This window comes from Homo sapiens, chromosome 1 (genome assembly GCF_000001405.40).
Source record: "Homo sapiens chromosome 1, GRCh38.p14 Primary Assembly".
Classification (NCBI taxonomy): domain Eukaryota; kingdom Metazoa; phylum Chordata; class Mammalia; order Primates; family Hominidae; genus Homo; species Homo sapiens.
The window spans coordinates 69,302,580-69,314,177 of NC_000001.11; the positions used below are offsets into that span (position 1 = coordinate 69,302,580).

The 11,598-nt window shown below is 40.5% G+C and overlaps 2 annotated features.

Annotated features, from left to right (window-relative positions):
- Positions 9,320-9,824: an enhancer, noted in NCBI's record as "H3K4me1 hESC enhancer chr1:69777582-69778086 (GRCh37/hg19 assembly coordinates)". NCBI's record gives its function as "activates a minimal SCP1, AML or CMV promoter by ChIP-STARR-seq in primed H9 embryonic stem cells {active_cell/tissue: H9 hESC(primed)}" and the evidence as "EXISTENCE:reporter gene assay evidence [ECO:0000049][PMID:30033119]".
- Positions 9,825-10,328: an enhancer, noted in NCBI's record as "H3K4me1 hESC enhancer chr1:69778087-69778590 (GRCh37/hg19 assembly coordinates)". NCBI's record gives its function as "activates a minimal SCP1, AML or CMV promoter by ChIP-STARR-seq in primed H9 embryonic stem cells {active_cell/tissue: H9 hESC(primed)}" and the evidence as "EXISTENCE:reporter gene assay evidence [ECO:0000049][PMID:30033119]".

The following is an 11,598-nucleotide window of genomic DNA, read 5'->3' on the forward strand; positions in this document are numbered from 1 at the left end:
AGTGAAAATAGATACTAAAGACAGGAATGAAAAACTGAACAAAATAAAATGGAGATAAATGTCTGACAAGCTTATAGAGAAAATGATAAATATCAAAAATAAACAAAGGAGATTTGAACTTCACATTATAGAATTCCACAAAAAAAGCAAATTAATGAAACAAAAGAAATTTCAAGAAGTAGAATTAACAGGGGCTATCTAGCAAAATTTGGTATTGCATAATTGATCTTGTTAAATCTGTTAAATATCAAATGTGAAAAATAAATCCCTGTTTAACAAATGCTAAAGTTGAGGCCAGGACAGTAGCTCACGCTTGTAATCCTAGCACTTTGGGAGGCCTAGGGGTGGATCACCTGAGGTCAGAAGTTCGAGACCAGCCTGACCAACATGGAGAAACCCCATCTCTACTAAAAATACAAAATTAGGCAGGCATGGTGGTGCATGCCTGTAATCCTAGCTACTCGGGAGGCTGAGGCAGGAGAATTGCTTGATCCCAGGAGGTGGAGGTTGCGGTGAGCTGAGATCACGCCATTGCACTCTAGCCTGGGCAACAAGAGCGAGACTCCATCTCAAAAAACAAAAAACAAAACAACAACAACAACAATAACAAAAAAGCTAAAGTTGAAAAAAGAGGGCATGGAAAGGAGAAGAAGATAAAGTCATATCTTCATTTGTCAATAAGAACCCCTTAGAAAAACTGGCCTCATAGTTTATCTATGAAGTTCCTTTCCATAGGGTTCCTGGCCAATGGAAAGTAGAGACTGTCACTTTCTGACAGACCTAGAAACCTCAAGTTGTTTTGGGTCCTCAAGAAGGAGAGGTTCACTCAATTCTTACAGGTATTTTTAGGTGCAAATGGATCCTTGGCTGGGCTCAAGAGGCCTTTCGAAGTCAAGTCTGAGATTCCTAGTGAGAGATTCCAGCAAAGCCCATTTAGGAGAGCCCAGTTGGACAATAATTCTTGCTGTACTCTGTGTGGGGTAGTCAGACCAATTATAGTGGGACTGAAGCTTATTTTGCAGGTAGGTTGGTACTGCTGTGATTTGTCTTTGGTGCAAGTGGGGGACTGAAGAGAAAAAGATTATGTTTCAGAAGAAACCCATAGTGTTTAATATTTGATTCCTGGGTGGCCATGCAGTCACCCCTGGTATCAACCTGCCGACAATGTCCATCCTCAACATGTAGCAGCCAGAAGGATTGATGACCACATTCCCCATGGTTGAGGAAATGATAAATTGAAAGGGAGAGACTAAAACCCACCCAATTTTCTCATAGAACCGATGTTTGTGGTTTCATCTGAATAAACATAGAAATTGACTCTCCCAGTCTTAAAACTTGAGAAAGTTTTATTTTTCTTATCTGAGTTCCCCTCCCAGGAAACCAGCCATCAGTCCTCCCAGATAGTATCAAGGAGCTGAATCTTGCCAGATCACTGCATCTGGACACTGAGATGCAGGACCCCTCACCTGTCATGATTGCCCAACCAACCACCTGCTTCCTATTGACAAACTCCTCTTCTTTGTCCCTTCAACATTCCTGTTTTCCCACATATAGCTACATTTCTTCCCTGCCATAAAAACCCCTAATTTTAGTTGGTCAGGGAGATGGATATGAGAATTATTTCCTATCTCCTCAAGTGCAGCACCTGATTAAAGCCTTCTTCCCTGGCAATGCTCACTGTTTCAGTGAATGGCTTTCTGTGTGGTGAATAGCAGGACCTAGACCAAACCCCTGGCATTTCAGTAACAATATCAGGAGTACCAGAGTCAGGGGTAAGAATGGTCAGTTTGAGCTTCGTGCAGAAGCTGACATTTGAGCAAAATCTTGTAGACATTGAGGCAGTTAGTTGTAAGAAAATTTTAAGGGTTTTATAAGAATATTTTAAGGACTTCATAAGAATATTATAAGGAAGTGCTAATAGAAATATCTTAAGGCAAGAACACACTTGCAATATTTGAAGAAGTACAAGATCAGTGGATTTAGAGTAGAATAAGCAAGAAGAAGAGTAACTGGTGATTAAGTCTGTGAATGAATATGGGCCAGATCATGTAGGGAACTGCAGATGTAAATAAAACCAGCATTGGAGGGTTTGTGCAGAATAGTGACACATGATCTGAATCGCAATTTAGCAAAATTACTCTGTTATGTTGAGATTAGATTGTAGGAGAGCAATAATGAAAGCAAAGAGATCAAGTCAAGAGGACTTTCCAATTGCCCAATGATATGGTTTGAATCTGTATCCCTATCTGATACGGCTTGGCTCTGTGTCCCCACCCAAATCTCATTCTAATTGTAATCCCCATGTTTCAAGGGTGGGACCTGATGGGAGGTGATTTGATCATGGACACAGATTTCCCCCTTGTTTCTGTCAATTGTGATAGTGAGTTTTCATGAGATTTGGTTGTTTAAAAGCATACAGCAGCTCCCTCCTCTCTCTTGGTCCTGCTCTTGCCATGAAGATTCCTGCTCCATCTTTGCTTTCTGCATGAATTAAAGCTCCCTGAGGCCTCCCCAGAAGCAGATGCTGCTATGCTTTCTGTACAGCCTGCAGAACAATAAGCCAATTATACCTCTTTGTTTATTAATTATCCAGTCTCAGCTATTTCTTTATAGCAGTGTGAGAATGGACTAATATATCCGAGTAAGAAATGTCAGTGGCTCTTCCGTGTGATAGTAGCAGAAATGATAAGTGGTTATACTATTTCTATATTTTGAAGGGGCAGTCAATAAATTTCAGAATAATAAATACAAATAAGTATTAATATATTAAGAGTTTATTGTCATTTATATTAAGAGAAATTCAAATTAAAACTATACTAAGGTATAGCCATTAGAATAGCAAATAAAAAATATATGTAATTGCAAATGTTAGTGAGGATATGGAGCTACTCAAATTCATATACATTGCCGGTGGTGGTGTAAATTAATATGACCACTTTTTTCTACTTATGACCACTAATTTAGCAGAATCTACTAAACTCAACATATGTATACCCTGTGATTTCATAATTTTACTTCTAGATACAAATCTAATAGATATGTATATAGAGGTCTACTGAAAGATATACATAAGAATGTTCAAAAATCACTATTTGTAAAAACCACAAACTGGAAATTTCCCAATGCCCATCAGCAGTAGAATATAAATTGTGGAATAATTGAAATCAGAAAAGTTCCTTTATCCCTCCCACAGATGGGGGGTGTGGCTAACTTCTTCAGTGCCCCGCAGCTCAAACCTCTAGGGGGAGCATGCGGACAGGCAGGTTGTGGGGCTCCGACCCCACGGCAGCATCTGGAGATGAATGCTTACAGTGTGTGTGTGTTACAGTGTGCTCTGATTCAGTTTAGTCGTTGTGTTCATCAGCTCAATTCGACCCTCTGCCTTATCGCAAGGAGAGAGGGCTTTCTGTATCCTGGGTTCTTGCCTTGGTGTACCAGAAAAATTGGATCACATGAGGGCTTGGAGGATGGGTGCAAGGTTTTTTATTGAGTGGTGGTAGCTCTCAGCGAGGTGGATGGGGAGGCCAGAAGCAGGATGGAGTGGGAAGGTGGGTTTCCCTGGAGTCAGGCCACCCAGCAGCTGGGCTCTCCTCCCACCACCCCGGCCAAACTCCCCAGCGTTCCACCAGTCGATAGCCTGCTGACATCTACAGGTGCCTGTCGGTGTGCTCTTCTGCCTGTGTGTTCCTCTCGACATACAGCCACTTGTGTCTGTGCCTGCTAGGATCTCAGGGTTGTTATAGGCATAGGATAGGGGCGTGGAGGGCCAGGATGGTCTTGGAAAATGCGACATTCGGGCGCAAAACCAGAAATGCCTGTCCTTACCTAGGTCTGTGGGCACTGGCCTGGGGGTTGAACCCTAGTCAGGGACCCGCCTTTTTCTACCCAGCACTCCCCTGCCCCCTCCCGTATCATAATCACACAATGGGGTATAATACAGAAATGAGAATGAATGAGAAATTGCATCTCTATACAAAAGTATGGATAAAGCCCACACACACAAAAAAAGTTGAGTGGAAGAATCCAGATACATAAATCATCATGGAATCAGTTCACATAAAGATCAAACAGAAAAGTTAATCTATGGTGTTAGAAATCAGATAGAGGGCTCCTTTGGATGAGAGTTAGTGACTGTGCCTAGGAATACAAGGGGGGCTTCAGGGATGCTGTGAATGCCGTTTCTTGATCTGGGTGCAAGTCATATAGGATGCCAGCCCCCCTCATTTTCTTAATCCAGTCTATCATTGATGGACATTTGTGTTGGTTCCATGTCTTTGCTATTGTAAATAGTGCTGCAATAAACATATGTGTGCATGTGTCTTCATAGTAGAATGATTTATATTCCTTTGGGTATATACCCAGTAATTGAATTACTGGGTCAATGGTATTTCTGGTTCTAGGTCCTTGAGAAATTGCCATACTGTTTTCCACAATGTTTGAACTAATTTACATTCCCACCAATAGTGTAAAAACATTCCTATTTCTTTACAGCCTCACCAGCATCTATTGTTTCCTGACTTTTTATTAATCGCCATTCTCACTGGCGTGAAATGATACCTCATTATGGTTTTGATTTGGATTTCTCTGATGATCAGTGATATTGAGCTTTTTTTTTGTATGTTTGTGGCCACATAAATGTCTTCTTTTGAGAAGTGTCTGTTCATATTATTTGCCCACTTTTTATAGGGTTGTTTGATTTCTTCTTGTAAATTTGTTTAAGTTCCTTGTAGATTCTAGATATTAGACCTTCGTCAGATGGATTGATTGCAAAAATTTTCTCCCATCGTATAGGTTGCCTATTCATTCTGATGATAGCTTCTTTTGCTGTGCAGAAGCACTTTAGTTTAATTAAATCCTGTTTGTCATTTTGATTTTTGTTGCAATTGCTTTTGGTGGCGTTGTCATGAAGTTTTTGCCCATGCCTATGTCTTGAATGGTATTGCCTAGGTTTTTTCTTCTAGGGTTTTTATGGTTTTGAGTTTTACATAAGTCTTTAATCCATCTTGAGTTAATTTTTGTATAAGTTGTAAGGAAGGGGTCCAGTTTCTGTTTTCTGCATATAGCTAGCCAGTTTTCCCAGCATCATTTATTGAATAGGAGATCCTTTCCCCATTGCTTGTTTTTAGCAGATTTGCTGAAGATCAGATGGTTGCAGATGTGTGGTGTTATTTCTGAGGTCTCTGTTCTGCTCCACTGGTCTATATGTCTGTTTTGGTACCAGTACCATGCTATTTTGGTTACCGTAGCCTTGTAGTATAGTTTGAAGACAGGTAGCATGATACCTCCTGCTTTGTTCTTTTTGCCTAGGATTGTTTTGGCTATATGGGGTCTTCTTTGATTCCATATGAAATTTAAAATAGTTTTTTCTAATTCTGTGAAGAATGTTAATGATAGTTTGGAGGGAATAGCATTGAATCTATAAATTACTCTGGGCAATATGACCATTTTCACAATATTGATTCTTCCTATCCATGAGGATGAAATCTTTTTTCATTTGTTTGTGTCCTCTCTTATTTCCTTGAGCAGTGGTTTGTAGTTCACCTTGAAGAGGTCCTTCACATCCCTTGTTAGCTGTAGTCTAGGTATTTTATTCTCTTTGTAGTTACTGTGAATGGGAGTTCATTCATGATTTGGCTCTCTGCTTGTCTATTGTTGGTGTAAAGGAATGCTTGTGATTTTTGCACATTGATTTTTTATCCTGAGACTTTGCCGAAATTACTTATCAGGTTAAGGAGTTTTGAGGCTGAGTTGGTGGGGTTTGCTAAATATAAAATTATGTCATCTGCAAACAGAGACACTTTGACTTCCTCTCTTCTTATTTGAATACCCTTTATTTAGTTCTCTTGCCTGACTGCCCTGGCCAGAACTTCCAATACTATTTTGAATGGGAGTGAAGAGAGAGGGCATCTTTGTCTTGTACTGGCTTTCAAAGGAAATGTTTCCAGCTTTTGCCCATTCAATATGATATTGGCTGTGGGTTTGTCATAAATAGCTCTTATTATTTTGAGATATGTTCCATCAATACCTAGTTTATGAAAGTTTATAACATGAAGGGATGTTGAATTTTATCAGAGGCCTTCTCTGCACCTGTTGAGATAATCATGTGTTTTTTTCTTTGGTTATGTTAATGGGATGGATTACAGTTATTGATTTGCATATGTTGAACCAGCCTTGCATCCGTGGATGAAGATGATTTGATCATGGTGGGTAAGCTTTTTAATGTGCTGCTGGATTGGGTTTGCCAGTATTTTATTGAGGATTTTTGCATCAATGTTCATCAGCAATATTGGCCTGAAGTTTTCTTTTTTTGTTGTTTCTCTTCCAAGTTTTCTTATCAGGATGATGCTGGCTGAATAAAATGAGTTAGGGAGGAGTCCCTCATTTTCAATTGTTTGGAATAGTTTCAGAAGGAATGGTACCAACTCCTCTTTGTATTTCTGTTAGAATTCAGCTGCAAATTCATCTGGTCCTGGGCTTTTTTTGGTTGGTAGGCTATTAACTACTGCCTCAATTTCAGAACTTGTTATTTGTCTACTCAGGGATTCGACTTCTTTCTGGTTTAGTCTTGAGAGGGTGTATGCATATAGGAATTTATCTATTTTTTTCTAGATTTTCTAGTTTATTTGCATAGAGGTGTTTATAGTATTTTCTGATGGTAGTTTGTGTTTCCTTGGGGCCAATGGTAATATCCCCTTTATCATTTTTTATTGTGTCTATTTGATTATTGTCCCTTTTCTTCTTTATTAGTCTAGCTAGTGGTCTGTTTTTTGTGTTGTTGTTTTGTTTTGTTTTTCAAAAAACCAGCTCCTGGATTCATGATTTTTTTTTGGAGGGTTTTTTGTGTCTCTAACTCCTTCAATTCTTCTCTAATCTTAGTTATTTCTTGTCTTCTGCTAACTTTTGGATTAGTCTGTTCTTGACTCTCTGTTTTACTCGTGATGTTAGGGTGTCAATTAGAGATCTTTCTAGCTGTCTGATGTGGGCATTTTGTGTTATAAATTTCCCTCTTAACACTGCTTTAGCTGTGTCTCAGAGATTCTGGTACATTGTATCTTTGATCTGATTGGTTTCAAAGAACTTCTTGATTTCTGCCTTAATTGCATTATTTACCCAGGAGTCATTCAGGAGGAGGTTGTTCAATTTCCATGTAATTGTGTGGTTTTGAAAAAGTTTCTTAATCCTGAGTTTTAATTTGATTGCACTGTGGTCTGAGAGACTGTTTGTTATGATTTCAGTTCTTTTGCATTTGCTGAGGAATGTTTTACTTCCAATTATGTGGTCAATTTTAGAATAAGTGCCCTGTGGCACTGAGAAGAATGTATATTCTATTGATTTGATGTAGAGAGTTCTGTAGACATCTATTAGCTTCATTTGATCCAGAGCAGAGTTCAAGTTCTGAATATCCTTGTTAATTTTCTGTCTTGTTGATATAATCCTGACAGTGGGGTGTTAAAGTCTCCCACTATTATTGTGTGGCAGTCTAAGTCTCTTTGCATGTCTTTAAGAACTTGTTTTATGAATCTAGGTGCTCCTGTATTGGGTCCATATATATTTAGAATAGTTAGCTCTTCTTGTTGAATTTACTGTTTACCTTTACATTTACCATTATGTAATGCCCTTGTTTTTGTTTTTGTTTTTGGGTTTTTTTTGGTTTTTTTTGGTTGTTGTTGTTTTGATCTTTGTTGGTTTAAAGTCTGTTATGCAGAGACTGGATTGCAACCCCTGCTTTTCTTCTTTTCTTCTTTTTTTTCTTCCTATTTTCTTGGTAAATATTTCTCCATCCCTTTATTTTGAGCCTATGTGTGTCTTTGCACATGAGATGGGTCTCCTGAATACAGCACACCAATGGGTCTTGATTCTTTATCCAATTTGCCAGTCTGTGTCTTTTAATCAGGGCTTTTAGCCCATTTACATTTAAGGTTACCATTGTTATTTGTGAATTTGTTCCTATCATTATGATGCTATTTGGTTATTTTGCACATTAGTTCATGCAGTTTCTTCATAGTGTCATTGGTCTTTATATTTTGGTGTGTTTTTGCAGTGGCTGGTAACAGTTTTTCCTTTCCATATTTAGTGCTTCTTTCAGGAGCTCTTGCAGGGCAGGCCTGGTGGTATCAAAATCCCTCAGTATTTGCTTTTCTGGAAAGAATTTTATTTCTCCTTTGCTTATGAAGCTTAGTTTGGCTGGATATGAAATTCTGGCTAAAAATATATTTTCTTTAAGAATGTTGACTATTGGCCCCCAATCTCTTCTGGCTTATAGAATTTCTGCTGAGAGGTCCACCGTTAGTCTGGGCTTCCCTTTGTAGGTGACATGGCCTTTCTCTCTGTCTGTCCTTAACAGTTTTTCCTTCATTTTGACTTTGGAGAATCTGACGATTCTGTTTCTTGGGGTTGATCTTCTCATGGAGTATCTTAATAGTGTTGTCAGTATTTCCTGAATTTGCATATTGGCCTGTCTTGCTAGGTTGGGGAAGTTCTCCTGGATAATATTCTGAAATGTGTTTTCCAGCTTGTTTCCATTCTCCCCGTCACCTTCTGGTACTCCAATCAATCGCAGGTCCAGTCTTTCTATGAAGTCTCATATTTCTTGGAGGCTTTGTTCATTTCGTTTCTTTCTTTTTTCTCTATCTATACTTGTTTGCATGCCTTATTTCAGCAGGGTAGTCTTCAAATTCTGATATTATTTCTTCCACTTGGTTGATTCAGCTACTGATACTTGTGTATGCTTCACAAAGTTCTCGTGCTGCATTTTTCAGCACCAGCAGGTCATTTAAGTTCCTCTCTAAACTGGTTATTCTAGTTAGCAATCCCTCTAAACTTTTATCCAAGTTCTTAACTTCTTTGCATTGGGTTAGAACATGCTCCTTTAGCTCTGCACAGTTTTTTGTTACCCATCTTCTGAAGCATACTTCTGTCAATTCTTCCGTCTCATCCTCTGTCCAGCTCTGTGCTCCGATGGAGATACGTTGTGATTATTTGGAGAAGAGGCGCTCTGATCTTTTGGGTTTTCAGCATTTTTTCATTGATTCTTTCTCGTCATGAGTTTGTCTACTTTCAGTCTTTGAGGCTGCTGACCCTTGGGTGGGTTTTTTGTGGGGCTTTTTGGTTGTCGTTGTTAATGCTGTTGTTGTTGCTTTCTGCTTGTTTTTCTTTCAATGGTCAGATCCCTCTTCCGCAGGGTTGCTACAGTTTGCTGGGGATTCACTTCAGGCTCTATTCATCTGATTCTCTCCCACGCCTGGAGATATCACTTAAGGGGCCTGGAGAACAGCAAAGATGGGTGCCTGATCCTTCTTCTGCGACCTCTGACCTCTAGGGGCACCAACCTGATGCCAGTAGGATCACTCCTGTATAGGGTGTCTGAAAAGTCCTGTTGGAAGATCTCACCCAGTTGGGTGGCATGGGGGACAGGACCCATCTAATGAAGTACTTTGTCCCTTGGTGGAGGGGGTGTGCCTTGCTGGGGGGAAATACACTTGTCTGGGCTGCCTGGATTCCTCAGAAATACCAGGAGGAAAGGCTAGAACTGCTGGTCTGCAGAGACTGTGGCCACCCTTCCCCCTAGGGGCTCAGGCCCAGGAAGATCTGGGTTCTGTCCGTGAGCCTCTGGCTGGAATTATTGGAGTTACTGCAGGGAATCCCCGCCCAGTGAGGACAGATGGGTCAGGGGGAGGCCTGAAGAAGCACTCTAGCTGCAGACTGCCACATCCAGTGTGTTGGGCTGTGGGGCACAAGTCTTGGGACCAAACCCTCCAGTCTCCCCGGCTCCAGCAGGGGAAAAGCACAGCCTGGAGCTATAGAGATGGATGTCGCCCTTTTCCTGCCCAAAGAGCTTAGTATGTTAGGCAGTTGCCAGTCCCAGTGCTGGCTGCTGCCCCTCCCACAAGGAGCTCCAAGGGCTTAAACAACCGGCAGCCACAGCGTGGTGCTGGTTGCCCCTCCTCCCAGAACTCAGCAGGCTTAAGCAGATTACAGGTGAGAGAGGCTGATGAGGATCTGCGTGTTCCGGGGTTGGAACGCTAGGCCCCGGTGGCTGGGTTTGCGATGTTGTACCTGAGCGAGTTAGAGAAAACGCCACACTTTGAGACGAATTAGGAGTCCGTTTATTTAGCCGGCGGCCAAGAGATGGCTAACGCTCAAAATTCTCTCCGCCCCGAAGGAGGGGCTAGATTTTCTTTTATACTTTGGTTTAGAAAGGGGATGGGGGGGTGGATCTAGTTAAAACAATTTTACAGAAGTAAAGTAGTCAAAAAGTTAAAAGGATAAATGGTTACAGGAAAGTAAACAGTTCCAGGTGCAGGGGCTTTAAGACTATTACAAGGTGATAGACCCGGAGCTTTGGGCATTATCAATCGGACGAATTCCTGGGAACTGCGGATATACCTTGCCACAGTATCTTATCAGTTAATTGCATTCTTGGATGTGCTGGGAGTCAGCTTGCACAAGTTAAGTCCTTGAGGAAGGGGCTGCCAGTGAAAGAGCCAAGATGGAGTCTGTCTGGCTCTCTTAGCTAAGGGAGAGTCAATTCAGGTGGAAACAAGGCTAGGTGATTAAAGGAAAGGGAGAGTCTAAAAACAGGGTTAGTAAAAACCAGGTTGGGCATTACAGCGAGTGGGGGTCTTCTGATCTGTGGGTTGCACAGTTTCATGAAAAATCACGGTTTCCCCTCCTGTGTAGCATACTCACTCACCACTCAGCGTCTCCCTTGGCCGCGGGGAGGGGACTCCTCTGCCCCATGTGGCTCTCAGGCCGCAGGACCACACTGTTCTTCCTTCTCTCTGCGCGTCACGCCAGCCTTCTAGTCAGTTCTGATGAGAGAACTTGGATATGTCGGTTGCTGGTGAAGGATTAACACTCTTATTATGTTTTTCTCCAGTGGGAGTCACACGCTGCTGTTTCTAGTTGGCTATCTTGGCCCCACCTTATACTTTATTTTTAAGTTTTTATTCTATTGTTATAAGAATACTTAGCATGAGATATATCCTTTTAACAAATTTTAAGTGTACAATACAGCATTGTTGACTAGAGATATAATGTTGTGCAGAAGATGTCTAGAACTTACTCATCTTGCTTACCTGAAATTTTATAACCATTCATTAGTAATTCCCCATTTCCCGGCCCCCTGGCTCCTGGTAACCACCTTTCACTCTTTGATTCTAAGAACATGACTAGTTTAGATTGTTCATATAAGCAGAATCATGCAATATTTTTCTTTGTGTGACTGGTTTATTTCACTTATCATAATGTCTTCAAGTTTCATCAATGTTCTTGCATTTTGCAGAATTTTCTTCCTTTATAAAGCTGAAAAATATTCAATTGTATGTATATTCCACCTTTTTTTTTTTTAGCAGCAGGGGTTTAATAGGCAGAAGAAAGAGAAAGGAGAAGGGAAAGATCCTATTCCACATTTGTAATCCATTTTCTGTTCAAGGACATTTAGTTTGTTTCCATATGTTGACTATTGTAAATAATGCTTCAATGAACATAGGAGTGCTTATATCTCTTCTAGATCCTAATTTCAATTCTTTAGAGTAAATATCTAAAAGTGGGATTGCTGGATTATATGTTGAAGCCCTTGACTGCATTTGGTATTTC